Source organism: Homo sapiens, chromosome 3 (genome assembly GCF_000001405.40).
Source record: "Homo sapiens chromosome 3, GRCh38.p14 Primary Assembly".
Taxonomy (NCBI): domain Eukaryota; kingdom Metazoa; phylum Chordata; class Mammalia; order Primates; family Hominidae; genus Homo; species Homo sapiens.
The window spans coordinates 13845413-13867252 of record NC_000003.12 but is presented as its reverse complement, the minus strand read 5'-3'; the positions used below and the strand labels follow the sequence as shown (position 1 = coordinate 13867252).

Here is a 21840-nt window from a genome sequence, read left to right as displayed (position 1 = left end):
CTTACCTTGCAGATGACTTTAAGTGAGTACTTCACCTTTCTGACAGTCTGCAGAATGGGGGAGCCACACACCCACCTTGCTAGGTGGTAGTGGCATTACATGATACGGGATGTAAGAGCCTGGCTCATTGTTATCCATTGGATGACATCCCCTGCCCGCTTCCAGGAGGCCTGTGTGCCCGTGTCATATGAACACAAGCTCAAGGAACCCGGGACCCATGCTCTAGATTTTCTTAGTGATTACCATCCTAAGCTGACCATTTTGACTCTACCTCCAAACTATATCCCCCAATCTGTCCAGTTTTCACCACCTTCACCACCACCTCCTGATTCAAACCGCCATCTTCAGATACTTGTTGCCTGGACAATGACATCAACCTCCAAATGCACTCCACCTCCTCCCTTTCATCCTGCAACCCACGCAGCCATCCAGCATGACATCTTCTCCGTGTTGCTCCGTGTGGCATCCTGCTGTGTAAAACCCTCCCGCGGTTTCCTGTTGTTCTGAGAATAAAACGCACACCCATCCCCTGCTCCTTTATGGACCTCTGCCAAAGTCCCTCCCACCTCAGGGCCTTTCCCTCACTGTTCCCTCTGCCTGGATGCTCTTTGCCAGCTTGGCTCGCTCCCTCTGTCTTTCTATCCTCTACTCACCTGTCAGCCCCTCGGAGAAGCCTTCATTACCCCCTCTCTAGTGTACACTGCCTGTCCTTGTCCGCTCTCACTGTGTAGCATTTTCTTTATGTCACTTTGTTACTCCAGGATGTATTCTCTGTAACTTGCTCATCTGTGCAGCGCTGTGTAGTGGTTCAGCCCTGAAGCTTACTGCTTGGTCATTTACCAACAGTGGGCCTTGACCAAACGGGAGTGATAATGGCACCATTCCCACAGGTGGCGAGAGGATGAGGTTAATTACTGCACTCAGAACTGTGCCTGGCACACAGGAAGTGCCCCATACATCGTAGCTGTGTTGTTATTATTGTCTGTCTTTCTGGCCAGAAGGCAGCTCTGTGAGGGAGCAGGGGCCTCTGACCCAGTGCCTGGCACATGGAGGGCACAGTCCCTGTGGAGGTGCTCAGTGGATGTAGGGACATCACAGGTACCAGAGCAGCCCCCTGCCCCAACTCCTCTCTGCAGCAGGAGATGGCACAGAGGGTACTTGGGAGATGCAGCTGAGTGATAGTGGGCAACCTGTCATATCCTGCATATGCAGGTCTCCACTCAAAGGCCACCTCCTCCAGGAGGTCTTCCTGGACCATCCTGTCCAAGACAGCACCCTCCACCCTTCCCTGACAGGGCACCCTGCACTGTTGTCTTTGCAGCACTTACCACTTTTGGAAGTGACTTTGTTTACTTTTGCAAGAACCCATCTGACATTAGTCTTCTCTGCCATCATGAGGCTCCATGGGGCCCAGATCTGCTGATCCTCTTCTCCCCAGACCGCCAGCATGTGTCCTGGGGCCTGGCACACAGTAGGTCCTCATGGAACACGTGAAGAAGTGTATGGCCCCCAGGCAGGCCAGCTCCTTTCTACCTTGTGTGGCCCCAGTTGCTCCGAGCCCTTGAGGACAGGCCTGGCCTTGTTTATCTTCCAAATGACGGGTCTGGGGAGCACCTCATGCACAGCAGGTGCTCCGTTTTCTCTGTTGCGTGAGTGACGGCTGTTTACTTCTCACCCCAAATAAAAAACTGCACGTTCATGTCTGCACATTTTCATTGAGCTCCATTCTAGCTGGGCAGCCTCACTCATCAAGATCTTTTTAATGTCAATTTGATCAACCATCCTGTTAGCTATCCTGTCCATCTCTGCATTGGCTCAAAATGGGATAAAAAATGTTGACTAGGTCTAGTGCCTAGGAAAGACCCCTGTGGCATGATTCAAGAGGAGCTGTGCCCGTTCCCAGGCTCCACCTGCCGCCTACTGCCAGCTGCCCCGGGGAGAAAAGGACATTCCCTTGGACAATAAAATGGGGGAACTCAGCATGTTATACTCCCTGCTCCTGGAGAGTCAGGGTGCCTGCCGGCATATTAAAGGTGCTGAAATGTCCTGTAGATAAGACAGCAGCTTGAGCTGACTCAATCTAGAGGGTCCACTCATTTCCATCCTTGGACTCACTGACTGCCCAGTGGAGCTGCTCTTAGGGGCACACACACTGGGGAATATCACCCTGGAGACCCTCACAGCTTGACCATACTCAGAATGTGGTTTATAGGTCAACTTGGAATCTACCAAAAAGTATATCCACCCACCACCAATTTCCATATCTTTCCCCAAGGGTACAGAAGAGGCACATCCTCGCTTCGGACATTGCCATGGGCAGCGAAATCCATTCTAATCCACATTACCATTGAAAGTCCCTTCAATCATGCATAAAATTCAGAATGCCTGAGTTTCCATACAAGTACAGGAAAGCATGCACATACATGTAAAATGTATATGCGACAACACAGTGTATAGAATGAAGAGTATATATCCACAATATAAGTATATAATATTTTAATTTTTTTCTGGTACATTTGGTTCAATTTATGGAAGTTAAATGTTCATGGGATAAGACTCCCCCACTTGTATGTCCACTCATTTATTCACGTCCTCATCCCACAGATATTTACTAGAATCTCTGCAGTAAATGCTGGGGTGCAGGCTCTGTCTGGGGCACTTGCTATCTGGTGGGGACAAACTGGGAAGTCAAGGCTGAAAAGTGCTCTGAGGATCTAGTGGAAGAGAAACAGGCACTGGGAGATGAGCACAGAAGCTGCCCACATGGGTCACCTGAAGTAGGGGCCGTCCACAACCCAGGAGGGGAAGGGGAGTGGCAGCAGGAAGGGCTTGGCTGGGCGACGCAGACAGGAGCCCTGGGATCCAGAGTGGCTTGGCACGAGGGACTGCAGGGCGTAGCGTAGGGAGGGTAGAAGAGGCTGGGGAAAGAGGTGGGACCAGGCATCCTGCAGGGTTTTGGGACCAGACTCAGGGGGTTTGCTTGGGAGGGAAGTTGTCAGAGGTATTTAATCAGAGGAGAGACAGGATGTAGGAAGATAATCAAATTCTTTGCACACACAGAACATTGCTATGTCTCCAGCATTATCATCGGCAAAGAAATGGTGATTTCCCGCCATGTGCTCCTGGGGATGGGTGCATTCTTTTCCACATGCTCACGACCTCCTGTTTGGTACCCCCCTGCCGGAATTTTTCCAGGGATGGGCACAAATGACCTAGGAGTCAACCCCTGGAGTCCACCCTCCTCTGTCTACAATCTGGGAAACTCTGATGCATTTCTGGGCTTCTGCCTCTGTAGAATTTGTCACCACTTCTCTTGGGCAGTCACTTGAGCAGCTCTCTCCTCTCCCCAAGGTGACTGCCTGGGCTGAGGGTCCCATGTCTGGGGATCCCCACACTCTGCAAAAAGGACTCCATCATTTTACCCATCTAGGGCTGTGAGAGTGCAACACATGTCTGGTGAGCTGGTGAATGCTTAGAAGGATGGATTTGAAGACCTTTCCAGTGAGAGAGACAGAAGCAAGGGGCGGGCCAGCTCCATTTTCTCTCTGCCATTTCTTAACAATACGCCATCTTGCCCAAGCAAAAGACCTATTCTTTCCTTATTCTTGCTTAGAATGCAGCTAACAAAGGACTTTTTGTCTCGTTTGCATTTTTTTTTTGCAAGCCTCAGTTCATCCTGGGTTTTAGCTCTCCTGACACTATTCTCTGAGATGACTCTTTTGTTATAATGTTCTCTTCCCAGCTTTCATGTGGTAGACAGGCAGGCAGGCAGGCGTGCGTGCGCATGCAACATGCAGACACACACACACATATACACATACACACACACACATATACACATACACACACACACACTTGCTTTCACATGCACATTCATTCATTCATTCAACTGTTGAGGCTTCACAGATAAATAATCCAGGTCCCCACAACCTAGTGGCGAGAGACTGATCATTCAATTCAATACAAAGTAAGGATGGACAGGGTGCTGGGCCACAGGTGGAGGGAGGGGACATCTGGGAGGCCCCTCAGAGTAGGGAACTTGGGAGCCATGGCTTGATGGATAAGGTGCTAACCAATAACGCATCTAGTAAGAGCTACTGTTTATCGATCCCTTACCAAGTGCGGGCTGAGCTTGTCATGTGCATTGGCTTATTTAATCCTCCCAACAACCCTGGGAGGTAGACATTTTGTATTCCCACTTTACAAATGAGGAAACTGAGGCCTTGAGAGGTGAGTTAGCTCATTCAAGGTCCCGCTGTCAGGAAGAGGGGGTCAGGATGTGAACCCAGATTTATCCACCTCCAGGGCTCTGTTTTAAAACTTCCTGGGCTACATTCACTGCCCCTTAGCAGGCAGATGGAATAAGAAAGACAATTGCAGGCTGAGGGAACAGCATGTGCAAAGGCGTGAAGCCAGGAAGGAGTAGATGCTGACCATTGGCAAGTGGTCAGCAGTGTGCTCTGGCCTTGCTCAGTGGGAAGAGAGACCCTTGGATGGAGAAAGACAGAGGCTGGGGCTTGCACACACCCCTCCCCAGTTTCCCGAGCTGTGGGCCTGTTACCTTACCAAGCTCCGCCCAGACACAGCTCCCTGCACCCCCAAATCTTCCAGTTATTCATTGAGAGGCTCCCTGGTTCCTCTTGGTGAGACAGCCCCATGTGGCATTCTGAGCCCAGAGGGGCTATGAACTGCCATGCCACGGGGCTGGCAAGCGCAACCTTTTTCCATCTGTATATTTTCCAAATCATATATTTCAGCTTGTGTCACTGCAGATTGCTTGCTCTCTGACCCATTGGCTTTAAATAGCAAAAGAAAAAAAAATACAATGCACTTTGTGGTTTCCAGTAAGATACCGTAAATACACCCAGATAATATTCCGGTGCAAACCATTTACAGTGGCTACACAGGGCGGTGGAATGGAATCTTTTGGGCAGGCTTGGACATCAGTTTATTTCCTCTGTACCCGCTGGGATCGTTATGGAGCTGGAACCACAGAGGGCGTCAGCTGGGCTCCCCATTTTCGTCTCAGTGATAATATGTATCGTTCTTTATCCAGCACCTTCTGGGAGCTCCATAGAGGCTTCATTCCACAGTGGTCTCATTTAATTTTCACAACTTGGCAATGTCCTCCTAAGGGTTCCCACTTCACAGATGGGGAAGCTGAGACTCAGAGAGGCAGAGTCCTTGCTTGGGGCTCCCCCAGTGAATGAGAAGTAGACAGGAGGGACTGACGGGTTTTGTCTTATCTGAGTTCTGAGCTGAAGTCACCTGGGATATCACAGGAGGGAAGGTCTCTTGGCTTCTGGATGAAAAGTTTACCTGGAGATGTGGATGGATTGAGAGGTAAGGAGGGCATGGGGGAGGTGAGGGAGCCAGGGGATCTTCTGGTCTTGCTGAGTCACTGGTGACCTTGAGCAAGTCTCCCATTCTCCTTGAAGCTATCATTCCAGTAGGAGCCCCCTGGCTTTGTTTCTGTGGCTCTAGGAATCTCTTCTCTGATTCTGGGGAGAGGAAGGGCTGGCAGAATCCACACCCGCCCACAGCCTCACCTCCTCCGGTGCCGCCCTGGCTCACCTGCTCCCGCCACTAGCTGACCACACCACACCAGGGCCATCACTCAGGCTACCCCTTGGCCTGATGCCTTCTTTGCCCCTAGAGAGCCTCATGACCTCCCCACTCAAGGCACCACCCCAGATATCCCCACTCCCATCACTGCCCTGTGTCACCTTCTTCAAAGTCCTCAGCTGCCACGGAGTGGCATGATCCTACTGCCTGTCCTTCTACGAAGGCAAAGCCATGTCTGAACTCCTCATCTGAGTTTCCTCATGCCCTAGAACAGTGCCTGGCACATAGTAGATGCTCAAGAAATATCTGATGAGTGAAGGAACAGACGGCTTGGTCAGGGAGGTGGAGGGGAAGGCAGGATTTGAGGGAGGTTCTTCCTCTGCTCCTGGGCAGGAGGGAGGGGCAGGTCCTTCACAGCAGACTGTCCCCACTGCCAGGGGTGGAGGATCTGATCCTGGAGGGCACACAGGCCATGGTGGCCAAGCCCAGGGTTCACTCACAGGCTCCACATGGATGATCTGGGCAAGAATGTAGGCCTGGAGTCAGTAGGACTGGAATGGTTTTCAAAACCTTGAGGCAAGGGAGTGGGTCAAACTCTGGGGCCAGCTGTACGAGTTTGAGTCCTTACAGGTTGTATCACATGGGCCTCAGTTTCTGCATCTGTAAAATGGAGATAATAGCAGCCCCCACCTCCCACGTTGTTGCCATATATTGTAGATCTATATTCAGTGCTTAGAACAGAGCCTGGTGAATAAGAAACATTTTGTATGTCTTTGCTCAGCTTTTTATGTACTATATGTCATTGGACATATGATCTCATCCCATTTCCACAGCAATAGAACAGACCACCCTTGCAGGTGTCTCCTAAGATAAATGAGGCATTTATCTTAGGCATTCGGGAAATTACCCACCTGAATGAAGGGGCTTCCCCGTACAGCTGAGAGAAGGGCTGTTCTCGGAGCAGTGAGCATGACCAGGGTCCAAGGGAGTTCTCTGGAGTGGTTAGGCACAGCAGGTGACCTCCAGATTTGCATCCTAACTCTTCCTGGGCAAGTCACCTCATCTCCCCAAGCCTCAGTTTCCCTATCTTACCTAGGATGAGTAAAGGAAGCAGACATGGATGGAGTCTGAGATTTATTTTAAGATTCCAGGAGGCTTTTCTGCTTTCTACCATCAAACCCTGTTCTCAGCTCAGCAAGCCATCCGATTTGAATGGTTTTGATAAATTATTTATTGATAAGTTTTAATTGATAACAACTGAATGCCATCTCGTTTTAGAAGTAAGTGCATTCTGACAAGAGTTGATGTCTTAAGCCAGAAGAATCTCTAACCATGGGGTTTCCATGCACTGGTGGGCCAGGAAGGGAGCTGGGGTGGGGCTGAGGAAGGACACAGACCAACTTGGGCCTTGAATTCCAGTTCTGGCCAGTTTCTAGCTGGGTGACCTCAGCAAATCACTCTAACTCAGAGCCTCCATTTCCTCAACTGTAAAACCATGGGGAATGACATCTACACTGGGGAATGTTGTGAAACACCTTCACAGAGGACCAAGCATGGGTCCGGAACCTAGGAGGTGCCCAACAAATGTTACCTTCTCTCTACTCTTTCCCATCTTCCTTAAAAAAAAAAACCCAAGTGTCTGGCTAACTCTGTGCTCATGCCTTGGGGCAGTCTTGATTTGATGAATGGGCTAGGAGATGGGCTATAAGGGGCTGGAGTTTATCACAGGTTCCACACCTGCCTGGTTAGATCCTCTTGGAGCCTCAGTTCCCCCATCTGTAAAGCAGAGAGGCTGTTATTACCTCCCTTGAGGGTTGCTTTCCTAGGGAATAGATGGGCATTCTCTTCTAACATGCTGAGCATGGAGTCTGGCAAACAAAAAGCACCCAAGAAAGACCATGTGGTTGAAGGCACACAGTCTGTGGAGACCAAGTCAGAGCTTTCTTTCATTCATTTATTCATTCCACTGCTATTTACTGGGTACCTACTCTGTGCCAGGCCCTGAGGACACAGCAAGGGCCATGACAAAGTGCTTATCTTCAAAGCAATTATATCCGAGAGGGACAGGGGTCATGGTGGTAGGGCTGGTATGGGGAACAGATAATCAGCAGCTAAGTCTAAAATGGCAGGGAGCAATAAGGGCCATGGATAAAACAGATGCAGGGCAAGTTCTTCTCTGTACCACCCAGTGGCACCTATAATTTCATCAATTATTATAATTATAATGCTCACTACTATTTGTTTAAGTACCTGCTAGGTGCCAGGTGATGTCTACCTCTTCCTACAGGGTAGGTGCTAATAACAGATGAGGAAATGGAGGCTCAGAGAGGTTAAGTGACTTGCCCAAGGTCACACAGCTTTTGGCAGGGTTGAAATTAGGACTCAGGTCTGTCTCACCCCTCACACATTTTGGAGGAGGTTGGAGACGGTGGGAGTGACAGATATGGTCCCTGTCATCTTGTAAACCTTAAATTTGCCTGGGCAGACAAACACTGGATCAGCCTCACATACTTGCCTCTCTGCTGTGACCTTCAGGACATTGTGAAATGGGACTCGGTGATAGTAACAACAACAAAACTACAACGCAACGGCTGATGTTTACTGAGCACTCACGGCATGCCAGGCACTGTGCTCAGCACCGCTCAACACCCCTTGTTTTGTAATTCAGTTCACTTAGACACATAGGTGCTGTGTAATTGTACCCATTTCACAGAGGAAGCAACGAAGGGTCAAAGAGGTTAACAGCCCTGACGTTAGTCACACAGCCAGCTGGATGCCCAGGGTAGTTTCCTCCATGGTAGTGTGGGGGTGGAGTGGGATTGGATCATCCCAGTCTAATGTGGGCAGGTAAGGCCAACGTCAAAGTTAATGGCAAGAGTCAAAAGTGACTCTTCCACATCCAGAAGGACTGGACTTTACCAGCCAGTACCTGGGTCCCTGAGAGCTCTGAAGCCAAGAATGACTGGCCCTCATCGGTGTCTTGACTACAGCCTTCGCTTGTCAGGGGCAGTGGGTGCTGAGGAAGCCCAGCTTGGTGGGGAGGGGAAGGCCATGGCACTTGATGAGACCTCACTCTGGGCTGTGGGGAAGAAAGCTCTCCATCTGGAGCTCGGGGGGGTGAAATGTGCCCCAAGGTGCAGCTGCCCTTCCCCACCTCAGGGGTGGGATGGAAATGGTGAGTGGGTGGAAGCCATCTGTGGTTAGCTGTCCATTTCTCACCATCTGCACCATCATGCACTGCTCCAGAGACTGAGAGACCCAGGGACGGTCACCACTGGGCTGTAGAGCAGAGGACACACGAAATTACCACAGGAGTCTTGGGCTGACAGCCCCCTCCTCTGCCTCCTGCCCCTTCCCCAGGGAGAAACCAAGGGAGAGGGGCCAGTCTTTGAGGACAGGCCAGGCTTTCTGCCCCGCCTTGATTCGCAAACTCCATTCTTGGTCTGATAAAGAGGACACAGTCTCCCATCAATGGCTGGAGCCTGCCGGTGGTGCCTGCCCACTGCACCTGGGAATCATTTCATCCCTGGGGGCAGTTCTTGGTCTACATGGGGTGCCCAGAGGCCGGGTCTGCAGCTCAGCTCTGCTGCCCACATGTTGGGTGTCCCAGGCAAGCCAAAAGCCTTTGTGTCTTCGATTGTAAAAGAAAAGCCCTACTCCTTACCTCTCAGCCCTCTTGTACTTGTAGAGACTTGTTACCTCCATCATAGATAAGAATTGTTATAATTGGAGCATTTGGGGCCACTTCCTCATGCCAACCTCTGTGCTAAGTGCTCTACCATTGTTAATTTTTATCATCACATTTTACAATGGGGGAACTGGAGCACAGAGAGGTTAGGTGACTCACCCAAGGTCACACAGCTGGAAAGCAGTGGAACAGATTTCTTCCCTGCCCTCCATCTGATTGTCCTTTTCTCTCACGTCCTTGAGGGTCTATTCTGGATATTGACTGTCTCCCTGAGGGTTTGGTTTTCTTGTGAGTTTGATACTCTCGAGTGTGAGCTGGTGCCTGGGGTTGGAGAGCTTTCTCTTTGCTCTTCTAGGCTCTCGGGGAATCACTGGACCGGGGGTGAGTCTTCCCACTTGCCTTGGAGCCCTTGGAGCATGCAGGGGGATATATTTGAGCCTCAAATCTATGCAAATGCAGGAAGTGGCGATCAATTTCCAGGAGATTCTGGCTTCCTCCAACCCCACCTGCCCACCTCCTGCGCTGGCTGGTGTGGACCTGTGTGCCTGTCTAGCTTTGCTGGAGGGTGGGGACAGGTGCAGACTTTTCCTGTCTGTCTGCCGTTTCTTTGCCCGAGGATCTATCCATGAGGCTCTATCTCTTTACCAAGGCCCTGCCTCAGCAGCACTCAAAGCCTGGTCTCCTGACACCTCATGGGCTTAATTCCAAAGCTCCCTCCTTGGCAGAGCTCAGCAACATGCGTCTATTCCCACCTATCTTGCTGGCAGTTCTGTCTTCAACCTGTGGCTGAGACAGCTTCCCTTGTCCTCCTATGGCCTGGTCCAGCATGCAGATCTTACACAGCATTTCTTGATTTCATGCAGCAAAGGCATTGTTGGGTTTTATTGCTGGACCAGAAATCGAGCCTGTTCCTGTGCCCCATGGCTCCCCTGTCCTTGCTGCCCTGTGCTAGTCCCTCTGATGGGCGTGTGTTACTCAGAGATGTTTTCTTCCTTCTTCTTCTTCTTCTTCTCCTTCTTCTTCTTCTTCTCCTTCTTCTTCTTCTTCTTCTTCTTCTTCTTCTTCTTCTTCTTCTTCTTCTTCTTCTTCTTCTTCTTCTTCTTCTTTTTCTTCTTCTTCCTCTTCTTCCTCTTCCTCTTCCTCTTCTTCCTCTTCTTCTTCTTCTCCTTCATCTTCTTCTTCTTCATGGAGTTTCGCTCTGTCACCCAGGATGGAGTGCAGTGGCACAGTCTTGGTTCACTGCAACCTCCACCTCCCAGGTTCAAGCAATTCTCCTGCCTCAGTTTCCCAAGTAGCTGGGATTACAAGCATGTGTCACCATGCCCAGCTAATTTTTGTATTTTTAGCAAAGACAGAGTTTCACCATGTTGGCCAGGCTGGTCTTGAACTCCTGACCTAAAGTGATCTGCCCACCTCAGCCTCCCAAAGTACTGGGATTACAGGCGTAAGCCACCATGCCTGGCCCCCTCAGAGATGTTTTCTAGTACTAAGGAAATGACTAATGCAGAGAGTTGCGAGCCCGGTAGGTGCTAAAATAATACCCTTTCCCGACCCCCAAAGTTGAGCTGAGTTCCCCAGGGGCTTCATTCCACTTGGTGCCAAGTTTCATGTTTGTGGAGCCAGGCACTGGCTATGCATTTCTGCATTTGACATGCCCCCTTCTCCTGTACCTTCTCAGCAGCTCCTGTCAGGCAGGCGCTGGCACTCTCCAGACTGAGATGCGGACAGGAGAAGGAGCTCGCCCAAGTCCCAGTCAGTCAGTGGCGGAGCTGGGACTTGAGCCCAAGCATTCTGACTCCAGAGCCTCTGTGTTAGCAGGGACACCATGGGTGGGCTGGCATGGCACGCCACGGCAAAGACAGCCCTGGCATGGGGAAGCTGTCCAGTCCAGCAGGTGGACAGGCCTACCTTCTGCAGGGTGGGAGGGCAGCGATGGGGTGGGGGGACAAGTTGTTTGTGTCTGTCTCCCCCTCCTGGGGAGGGAGGTCCCAAGGTGAATGAGAAGGTGGGTGGGGAAGGACCTCCCTGAGCATGGGACAGAGTGACCTGAGGCTGGAAGCAACTTGGAGCAAGTCATCTGCCTCCTCACTTGCTGCTTAAGCCGTCTCCATCCTGGCATTCTGAAACACCTTCTCTGGCCCCCCTTTGCCTGCTCTGGGTTCCAGGGCCTCTTCTTCCAGGTGCCTTCCCTGAAACCCACCCAGGCTACATGAGAGTGAACTTGCCCAGTGCTCCTCAGGGCTTATACCACACACAGGGCTTCCCATAGGTTGCTTTGGTCAGTCTTCACCCTGTAAAGCAGACGTAGCCCTTGAACCCATTTTGCAGGTGAGGAGACTGAGGCCCAAAGAGGCTAAGAGGCGAGGTGGCAGCACCATATTTAGGCCAACTCTGAGTGACTGCCTGTCCCACGCTGTCTCCTGCACCCCAGCTGCTCAGGACCCTGCCCTACCACTGGAGATACTCACAGTCCAGTGAGGGGGCCACAGAAGAAGGGAGGGGATGGACATCTGAAATAGCAGGTGACACACAGAAAGAGTAGTAGTGGCCACGAAAACAAGAGGTAGGGTGCAGTCAGGTTCCATGAATGAAACATGGGGCCAAGAGCTTTCCATGGACAAACTCATTCTCCCTCATTGCCATGAGAAAGTTACCAATGATATGTCCCCATTTTACAGCCAGAGAGACTGAGATGCAGGGAGGAGTAGTCCTTGGCCAATAGTCACAGATCCAGGGATTGATGTTCCTGGGATTTAAACTCAGGCCTTCTGGCCCCAGAGCCAGTGTCCTCTGTGGGTGTTGGGGAAACGCTGCTTTACGATGCTGTGAGCTTTATGCACGTGTGCAGTTTACATGGTTACGTCAAGTGTGCTCAGGAGTGGGGAGTGGGGACTGATGGGCTAGAGGGGTCCCCCACATCTGGCCTTCCAGATCCTGGGCAACCAGCCCACATACCTTCCTCCTTTACTGCCCAGTTGACTCCCCAGGTTCTGGGGTTGAATGGATGTGTGTGTAATGGGAGGTGCTCAGCTCATCACCCTAAAAGGGAGCTTTGTTGGAAGTTAGGAACGGGTACTCAGTCGAGCTTTGGAGAGCCATTGCATTGAGCTCAGCCTCACTCTTCAGTCAGGCCCAGCCTCCTCTCAGATGCTTGGGACCTGACCCCAACTTGTCTCCTCTTCTCTCCTCCTCGCAGGGAGCCGGGAGGCTGCGTTCACCTACGCCATCATTGCCGCCGGCGTGGCCCACGCCATCACAGCTGCCTGTACCCAGGGCAACCTGAGCGACTGTGGCTGCGACAAAGAGAAGCAAGGCCAGTACCACCGGGACGAGGGCTGGAAGTGGGGTGGCTGCTCTGCCGACATCCGCTACGGCATCGGCTTCGCCAAGGTCTTTGTGGATGCCCGGGAGATCAAGCAGAATGCCCGGACTCTCATGAACTTGCACAACAACGAGGCAGGCCGAAAGGTAGGAAGCCAGGGAGGGCAGCTGGGCGGCGCTCGCGGAGATGCTGCAAAATGGCTTGTTTGTAACATCTGGTGCTGGGTGTCTGTTGAGGAGCCACAGGGCTCTGCCCTCAGCCTCATTCTGCTTGGTGCTGGCATCAGCTTGTAGCTGGTCAGGATTTGTGTATGGCACGAAGCTTGTCAGTTACTGAAGAGGTTGGATAATTGAGTCTGCCTTAAGACGAATTGAATGTTACTCAGCAAGATGGAAAGAGGGACAGATGTGAACTCTTATCCTTGGGAGGGACCAAATTAGCCTTTCTCCCTTGCTCCCTTCCTGCCTCTCTCCCTCCTTTTTTCTCTCCCTCCCTCCCTCCTTCCCTCCGTCCCTCCTTCCCTTCCTCCCTCTTCTCAGGCTTCTGGCCACATCCTGTGTGTCAGAGCCTCACAGGTGGCCTTGGTGAGTCACACAGGGGAATTGCTCACCTGGTCTGCCCCAGGATGGTGTCCTGGGGGAAATTACCAGGCCCTGCCTGTCTAGTCTCATGGCTGGGAGCTCCTGCCCAGGGTGGTGCATCCCTGCAGTGGTCCCAGCTGCTCCCTCCTCCCTGTTTTTGTGGTCCAATCACCCTGCAGGTCCCAGGTCCCAGGCTCCCTCCTGCCTTGAAGCCCTCACTTCCTTGAGGCAGACAGGAGGAGGACACGTGGCTTCCCTCTCCCAGCCTCAATTTCCTCACCCACGGCTCCCTGGCTGGGCCATGGTGAGAATTAAAGGAGAGAATAGCACGTGGCCCGCAGCAAGTCAGGGTCAGGATGGATCCCGTGGGAGTGTGTTCTGTGAGCCACACAGCTCCACTGGGCATGAGGCTTGTGGCTGTTGCTCTGTCATACTGCCATGAGCCCGTGGGCAACACAGACACTGGGAACTGTCAGAGGCTGTAAGACCAATCTCAGTGGGCTTCCTGGAGGAGACAGGCCTCGAGAGATGAGCGAGGTTTGGCTAGGCAGGGAAAGGAGGTGGAAGCAGCCAAGATCTGGTGAGTGGGGGAGGAATGGACACAGACCCAGAGGTAGGGGCAGGGGGCCAGTTAGGGACCACACTGGCTAGTCTGTGAGGCCCTGAAAAGGGAACCCCTGCAGGTTGGGGCCGAAGAGTGCAGCCTTGTGTTCTGCCCCCAGATCTGCCTGTGGCTGCCATGTCCTTGTCCTTCAGGTTTCAGCCATGATGTCCTCTCCCCAGAGAGGTTTCCCTTTACATTCCTTCCTAGCCTTTTCTCCGAGTTTGCCTTGTTCCGTGGCTTTCTCCCCTCTCTAGACTTTAAGCATACCGAGGACAGAGGCCTGGGCTGTCTCAGACACAGCAGCACTCCAGAGCGTGGCACACAGTAGGCACTCTACAAATATGTATGGAGTGAATGGATGAGTGCCTTGTGGTTGCTGGGGAGCCACTGTGGGGCAGAAGTCATAGACCCTTGGGAGGCAGAGGGCTACTTTGAGTGGGGTCAGGAGCTGGGTATGAGTGGAGTGCAGGCCAGGCCTGACCTGATGTTTTTGAGCAGGAACAGCCCTCCCATCTCAGGAAAGCTCAGTAGAGGGCCATACATCCTCCTGCCTGCCCAGTGCTCTCTGGTTAGGGAGGACCTTTGGGGATGGCTTTCTAGAAAAGCACTTCTACAGACACTATGTATTTCCTGAGCCAAGAGGTGGGACTGTGGACTCCCCGGTGTATGCAGAGAAAGGGCTGAGTCACACCCGTCCCGCCCCTTTGTGCTACAGGGATGGAAATGGAGGCTCAGAGAGGGTACCAGCTGACCTGTGGGGACTCAGGTCAGTGACCACACACACCACTCAGCCAGAGCACGGTGAGGTGGTCTTCCAGCCTAGCCCCAAGTGGCCAGTCCCTCACTTGCTGCCATGGGACACCCCAAGGGCCCCGACGAGGGCAGGAACAAAGACAGCCGCCAGCTGCTGTGGGTTCCAGCCCCTCTTGCGACCTCAGTTTCCACATCTGTCGATTGGGACTATGACCCACTCCTTGTTCCGACCGGTGCCAGTCAGTTCCCCAGGATTTTGCAACACGCCATTTACTCAAAGGCATGGGACCCCACCCCAGAAGCCCCCTCCCAACAGGCTGCCATGGGCTCCACGCATGGCAGGGCTGGGAAACCGACAGGAGCAATGGGGCCAGCCTACTGCTGCTCCTGGCTGAGAGCCTCGGAAAGGCTCGCAGATGTGTTTATCACCCGCTCCCTCACTCCTGCCATGAGGAAACAAGACTCAACCTGACCACAGGCTCTGGGGCTTGTTGGCAGCTGGTGTGAGAGAAGGGGAAGCGGGGAGGCTGGGGTGGGGGGGTGCACCATGTGGCTTCTGCAGACCTGATGAGGGGCTGCCCCTGGGCTGAAGGGGAGCCCCCAACTCCCCTGGCAGTCGAAGGAGAATAAATGCTGCAGGGGCGTCCTGCCCTCACAGGTCCCCAGTTTGAGTCTAAGCCCAGCAGGATGTGGGCCATGGGGCAGGGGCAACACCGCAAGGAAGCTGCAGGGCATCCCCTCCTTTCCCTCATTGTCTCGTCAATTGTGTGGTCTGCAGGCCGAATCAGAATGGTTAGGTGCCAATATCTTTTGGCGAGGTGATTTTAGAATTATAGTTTCCCCTATTGGCATTTCGGGGCCTTTGTACTTTGGATTGAAATCAGTGGCCGCTCAGGTCGGGGGTCCCAGAATACGAAGTTCACATCCTAGCGTATGATGTGTGGAATCATAGGCTCCTCAGTTGGGAGGAAGGGAAGAGTCAGAAGCATTGTGCTGAAATCTTTGGATGGTGGAATCTTTGTGGCTTTGAATAATTTCTTTCCAGCCTTTTGGCCGCAAGGAAATTAACTACCCACAGTTTTTGCCCTCAAGACTAGACGTTCAGTCTAGTGAGAGAATCAGGTACAAGAAGCAAAAATTGTGATTCAGGGCTACACACTGTAGGAGAAACGTGATACAGAAAGTGAAGAAAAGAGGTCAGAGGAAGAGTGGTTTGTTTCCTCTTGAAGTCTAAGAGTGCTAGGCAGAAGAAGGGAACTCTTAGCAGGGCTTTGAAGGATAAGGAGTCCAGGTGGACGAGGCATCAGGAAGGAAGAGGGCAGTTCAGGCAGCACAGGCATGTTCAAAAGCATGAAGTCCTAACAGCATGCTGTGGGGGCTCCGTGTGGCCGAGGGTGGGGAGGACGAGTGACGAGGCTGCAGAGGGGCTAGATCCTAACACACAGCCTTGAATGCCAGAACAAGGAGTGGGACTTTGTCTTAGGCCAGAGGTGCCCAGAAGAGGCTTTGGTGGGGCAGTGCTTGGGCAGGTTTCTGGCCCTGTCTGGGATAGAGTGGAGTACAGAGTGAAGGGGCTGTGGCCACGGTTGGTGCCTAAACCCAGCAGGAGCCTCGGGGCGCACGGCTGGGGAGGCTGTTTAGGAAGCCTAATAGGTAGGAGATGTGTCAGGTGTACTTGGTGTGGAGGAACAGGGTCGTAATGGAAGCCATGGTGTTTGTAGGATTGCCCGATGGGAGGGTTAAAGGGGGAAAGCAGGAGAGAGCCTGGGCCACAGCCTGGGCAAATGGGTACTGGGACGGGAGGGCTATGGGAAGGGAAGGACAGTCAGGGAGGTTGGAGGAGAACCAGAAGAACCTGGGCCTTCTGGGTGCATTTGTGAGTGCGTGTAGACATCCCCCTGCAGGAGTGCAGAGAAGCCTGGGCAGCTGCGAAACCCAGCCAAGGGCCAGGGGTCTCCGAGCCTCCATGATAATATTGTACCTGGCAGGCCAGGCTTTCGAGTCCTTACTGTACAGAGAGAGAAGTGCACCAGGGAGCTCCGGGGGCCTGGGGGAGGGTGGAGGCTCTCAGCAACCCCTTCATGAGAGTGTGGTGACTGAGCCCAGGAGAGGCAGCCCTGGGGATGGGGGCCCAGCTGGGACGGGGCTGGCCCCTGCTGGAATGCGCCTCTTGCTCCAAGGGAGGTGAGCTCAGGGGGATGGAATTCCGCCGAAGTGAAAAGTCACCTCCCAGTCCCTGCCCAGCCTCTTGCACACGGAGGGGTGTCGGTCTTGTCCCTTCCTGCCCTGCCCCGTCTGGTCCGGGTGCTCCTGGGAGCTGGATTCCCACCCCTGCCCTGGCCGCAGGCAGGCCTGTGAGTCAGGGGACACCAGGGACCAGCCCCTGGCAGCTGGGGCGGAGCCCAGATAAGGCCTGCTCAGCTATGCTCCTCTCTGCTGTCCCGAGGGCCACTTGCATATTTGACCAGATAGAGTGGCCAGTGGTGGCATGTCGAGGGCCTGAGGAGCCAGGCCCCGCCCAGCCCGAAGCTGACTGGCCAGGCCAGGCTGGAAGGAGGCATCCTCAGTCTGCCGTGCCCTCCATTCCTGCCCCGCCCCTGGGCACAGGTGTGGGTTCTTGCCCTTGCGAATGGAAAGGCTTGCAGCCAGGACTCAGGGGACTTGGAGCAGGAATGGTCTTGCACACATCTCAGCCTTTCAGGGCCTTGGTTTCTTCCATGGCAGGGGCTTCTTTCCTTTGCTCCCAGGAGGGTCTCCAGGTCTGACATGTGGGCTGGGGAATGACATGGGGTTCTTGGGACCATTGTACCCCAACCCTGTCTGCAGCTTCTCTCCCACACACACCACCTTCCAACCACACACTCCTGCAGTCAACCAAGCTTGTTCGCACCTCAGGGCCATTGCACAGGCCGCTTTCTCTGTCTGCAAAGCTCTTTCCTTGAATCTTTGCAGAACTAGCTCCTTGTATTCCTTCAATTCCTGGCTCAGATGTTGCCTTAATGGGGAAGTCCTCCCTGACTTCCCTCCCCTGCTGTCTGTCTCATCTCTCTCCATCACCCTACTTTACTTGCATGTGAAACCACCGCACAGAATGATCTCATTTGCACAGCTCTTTGTGTCTTTATTGCTTGTTGCCTCCCACTGCAGGGTCAGCACCACAGGGTAGTGATGGCCTAAGTTCACCCCTAAACCTAGAACAGTGCCTGGCGCATCGTAAGTGCTCAAGAAATATTTGTTGAGTGAACAAATGATATGGCAAGTGCTTGCTCTGTCTTGGGGGGATTTCCAGGAGCAGGGCTGCAAGGTATAATACAGGACTCCCACTTAGAGTTGAATTTGAGATAAACAAAAGTACGTCCAAACTATTGCACAAGACATACTAAAAAATGATTCGCCATGTATCTCAAATTCAGATTTAACCAAGTTTGTGGTTTTGAATTGAGCTGATATTGAGATAATTGTAGATTCACATGGAATTGTGGAATATGAAGAGATCTTGTGTACCCTTTGCCCAGTTTCCCCCAATGGTGACAGCTTGCAAAACTATAGGACGAGGGTCACAACTAGGATGCTGATGCTAGGACAGTCAAGATGCAGAGCACACAATGGTCCCCAGGTTGCCCTTGTATAGCCACTTCTACTTCCCTTCCCCTTCCGAATCCCCAGCAAGCACTAATTTGCTCTCCACTTGTATACTTTCATTATTTTAACGATGTTACATAGGTGGGTCTTACAGTATAACCTTTCCAGACGAGCTTCTTTTCATTCAGCACAATTCCCTCAAGCCTCCTTCAAGTGTTGTGTATCAGTAGCCGGTTCCTTTACCTTGCTGAGTAGTATTCCAGGGCACAGAGTCTCCACAGTTTGTTTTGCCATTCACCTCTTGAAGGATGTCTGGGTTGTTTGCAGGTTATGACTATTACAAATAAAGCTGCTGTGTCCATGTGTGTACAGGTTTTTTTTTTGTGTGTGTGAATGTAAGGTTCTATTTCCCTAGAATAAATGTCCAAGAGCACAAATGTCTGATGGCTGTATGTTTAGCTTTATAAGAAAGTGCCAAACCATTTTCCATTTTGTGGGAGAGTGGGTGTGTCATTTTATATTCCCACTAGCAATGTGTGAGTGGTACAGTTGCTCCACATCCTCACCAGCATTTGGTGACATCACTGTTTTTAAAATTTTTTTGCCATTCTGATAGATGTATGTTATACCTCATTGTGGTATTGATTGGCATTTCCTGAATGGCTAATGATGTTGAATATATTTTCATATGCTTATTTGCCATCTGGATAGCCTTTTCAGTGTAGCATCTGTTAATGTCTTTTTGCCTATTTTCTAAGTAGGTAGTTTACTTTTTTAACTGGTGAGTTTGGATATTTCTTTATATACTCTAGCAGCCAGTATTTGGTCAGACATGCGGTTGGCAAATATGTTTTCCCAGACTGTAGCTTGTCTTTTTTATCATCTTCATAGGGTCTCTCACAGAGTAAAAGTGTTTAACCTTGATAAGTTTTAACTGATAAGGTCCAATGTATCTATTTTTCTTTGAATGGACTGTACCTTTGGTATCATCTAAAAACTCTTTGCTCAGCCCTAGATCCCAAAGATTTTGCCATATTTTTTTTCCTAAAAGTTTTATGTTTAGCATTTAACTCTGTGACCTGTTTTTTTTAAAAAATTCATTAATTTAAAAAAATCAATGAAAATTTCTTTTTTAAATTGTATGTTACGTTTTTATTTATTTTTAATTGTGATAAAATATACTTGGCATGAAACTTGCCATGTTAGGCATTCTTGGGTGTGCACCCCAGTGGCATCAAGCACACTCTCACTGTTGTGCTGCCATCCCCACTTTCCATCTCCAGAACTTTACCATCTTCCCAAACGAAGACTCTGTCCCTGTTAAACAACCACCTCCCATGTCCCCCCGCCCCACCCCAGCCCCTGGCACCCACCTTTCCACTTTCTGTCTCTTTGAATCTGACTGCTCTAGGCGCCCCACATAAGAGGCATCATATAGTTTTTGTCCTTTTGTGTCTGTCTTATTTCAGTTAGCGTAATGTCTGAAAGGTTCTGTGATTGCTTTGAATTAACTTTTCTATGAGGTGTAAGTTTAGGTCAGGTTTCGTTTTTCAGCCTATTTATGTGCTAAATCCGGGAACCCTCCCTAGCCTCCACTGTCAAGGACGGTGGCCTCGGGACAGTGCCAAGGAAAGCTGTAGGATTGTTTTAGAGCTGGAGATTCTCTCTTCTGTGGGCATTTAATCAATGAGAGACTGAGACCCTGAACTGGAGGGGCCCCGCCAAAGCCACACACCAAGGGAGTGGAGAAACAAGAGCTGCACCTAGGGCCTGGCTCCTGGCTCAGACCTCCCTTCCGCTCCCTAGAGCTGGCCAGGGTCGGGGAGCTGAGCTGGATGAGAGGCTGAGGTAGGGACCAGGAGGTCCATGGTGGGCTTGAGAAAAGCTTAGTGGGATGACCAGGCCAGGGTGTCTGGGCCTAGAGAAAGGAGCCCAGACTAGACCAGAGAGGAAGCTACCAAGGATGGGTTGGAGGGGGACCAGCCCAGGCTGGGGCGGAGGGTGCCCACGAGGCCTGAGGTTTTGCCAGTTTTCTCTGATGACACAGCGAGGGCAGAGCCCAGCCAGGTCCTGTCAGTGATGCCACAGTGATAGCAGTGGACAGTACCCGGGGAGGAAGGGGATGAGATAAGAGAGGCCGCATGGGTAGGGGCAGGGGCGGCCCTTCCCACAGAGACTGGAAACGTCTGTGACCCCAGCTTCATGCAGCCTGGTCCCTGGCATCCCACTTTGCTCTGGGCTGGTAAGACCACCCCACCCCCAACCTGGATGGACGTGGGCAGCCGGGGCAGGCCCTGAGGAGGCGCTGAACACCCAGGCCTGGAAGGAGTCAGGTGGCTCAGCCATGAGTGGAGCAGCCTCAGGAAGGTGTCACCATCCTGCAGTCCCTGAGGACTGGGGGTGGTGTGGTTAGGAGGGTGGCAGGCAGGACCAGGACCCACGGGATGGAAGAATATGGGGAAAAGGCAGCTCAAGTGAGAAGGAACTTGCTATCAGGAAGCAGGATGCAGTCCCTATCAAAGCAGGTGGTACAGGTGGAGGGAAGGTTTTCATTTGCTGGGAGAATATGGACATGATTCTAATATCAGCACTTGAAATATATATACTAATTTAATCCCCACAGTAGTCTTATGAGATCAACATTCCCTGTTCTCTCCGTTTTACAAATAAGAAAACGGAAGCACAGAGAGGTTAAGAAAGTTGCTTAATGCCACACAGCTGGCAGGTGCTGTGCTGGGATATAAACCCAAGCAGCCTAGCTCCAGATCCAGGTCTTAACCTCAAACTATCCTACCACCCTCAGGAGTCTTGGACTCAGATGCCTTTATCCCCACAGTCTCCTGATCCTGAAACCCTGTGATTCCAAGATGTTAACCTAAGATTCACAGATGCTCTGATTTGAGGAATTTGGAGACTACAGTCCTCGGCCCCTAGAAGGCCCCACTATGTGGTCATTTGGGTTGTGGGTTATCCAGGCACGCACACGTGCATCCTCTCCTACTCTGGTCACTGTGGCCTTGGGGCAGTCCTTGAGCCACCACCTTCTGCCTGGGAGAGGACACATCAGGGCCAGGGAGGAACCCGGTTGTGAGTGAGAAGAGGGGATTCTGTGTGCCACCTTGGCAGGTGAGGGGCCCCAGGCTGTCATGGGGGTTCAGGATGAGACTGGACAAGGAGATGGCCAGACAGAGACCCACACCTGGTGCAGGGACCAGGGCACCTCCTGTTTTAGCAGAGTTCTGGACTTGTTCAGCCTGATGAACAGCAGTGGGAGAGACTTCTCTTCTCCTCCGATCCTTCCAGGTAGTCGTGAGACTCGCCTCGGTGTCTCTCAGAGCCCAGCCTGGGCCTGGCATACTCTTGGTGACATAAAGTGGCACACATCCTAGGCCATGTCACAAACAGCCACCAGAGCACCACAGGCAGTAGGGCTGGGTGCATCTGTCCCTGCCTTCTCATTCCCAGGAGTGTACAGGGGGCAGGCAAGAGGCAGGTGCTCCCTGTGCTGTGAGGTGGGCTCTGGAGTCCACTCCTGGCTTTGCTGCTTGCTAGCTGTGTGGCCTTGGCCATGTTACTCTGCCTCTCTGTGCCTCAGTTTCTCCAGGGACACTTAATAGCGCTATAGAGTATTATGAAGATTACATGATTAAAAGAATTTAAACTGCTTATAGCTGCACTGTCCAATATGATCACAAGCCACATAGGGCTACTTAAATTTAAATGAATTACAAATAAATAAGATTAA

The 21840-nt window shown here is 51.9% G+C and overlaps 1 protein-coding gene across 3 annotated transcripts in view, besides 6 other annotated features; it reads left to right on the top strand.

The window, feature by feature from the left end:
• Window positions 1-21840, top strand: part of WNT7A (Wnt family member 7A) — a 63814-nt gene that overhangs the window by 12819 nt on the left and 29155 nt on the right. For all 3 annotated transcript variants that reach the window (NM_004625.4, XM_047448863.1, XM_011534091.3), the window contains one exon: window positions 12450-12721. In NM_004625.4, the coding sequence (NP_004616.2) occupies window positions 12450-12721 (272 nt within the window). The remainder of the gene's footprint in view (window positions 1-12449; window positions 12722-21840) is intronic.
• Window positions 12120-13087: an enhancer, noted in NCBI's record as "H3K27ac-H3K4me1 hESC enhancer chr3:13895663-13896630 (GRCh37/hg19 assembly coordinates)". NCBI's record gives its function as "activates a minimal SCP1, AML or CMV promoter by ChIP-STARR-seq in primed H9 embryonic stem cells {active_cell/tissue: H9 hESC(primed)}" and the evidence as "EXISTENCE:reporter gene assay evidence [ECO:0000049][PMID:30033119]".
• Window positions 12120-14057: a biological region, named in NCBI's record as "P300/CBP strongly-dependent group 1 enhancer GRCh37_chr3:13895244-13896443".
• Window positions 12307-13506: an enhancer, noted in NCBI's record as "P300/CBP strongly-dependent group 1 enhancer chr3:13895244-13896443 (GRCh37/hg19 assembly coordinates)". NCBI's record gives its function as "activates an origin of replication core promoter dependent on BRD2, BRD4, P300/CBP, MED14 and CDK7 cofactors, with strong dependence on P300/CBP, by STARR-seq in HCT116 cells {active_cell/tissue: HCT116}" and the evidence as "EXISTENCE:reporter gene assay evidence [ECO:0000049][PMID:35650434]".
• Window positions 13088-14057: an enhancer, noted in NCBI's record as "H3K27ac-H3K4me1 hESC enhancer chr3:13894693-13895662 (GRCh37/hg19 assembly coordinates)". NCBI's record gives its function as "activates a minimal SCP1, AML or CMV promoter by ChIP-STARR-seq in primed H9 embryonic stem cells {active_cell/tissue: H9 hESC(primed)}" and the evidence as "EXISTENCE:reporter gene assay evidence [ECO:0000049][PMID:30033119]".
• Window positions 14179-14683: an enhancer, noted in NCBI's record as "H3K4me1 hESC enhancer chr3:13894067-13894571 (GRCh37/hg19 assembly coordinates)". NCBI's record gives its function as "activates a minimal SCP1, AML or CMV promoter by ChIP-STARR-seq in primed H9 embryonic stem cells {active_cell/tissue: H9 hESC(primed)}" and the evidence as "EXISTENCE:reporter gene assay evidence [ECO:0000049][PMID:30033119]".
• Window positions 16547-16841: an enhancer, noted in NCBI's record as "tiled region #1149; HepG2 Activating non-DNase unmatched - State 20:ReprD". NCBI's record gives its function as "activates a minimal TATA promoter and a strong SV40 promoter by Sharpr-MPRA in HepG2 cells {active_cell/tissue: HepG2}" and the evidence as "EXISTENCE:reporter gene assay evidence [ECO:0000049][PMID:27701403]".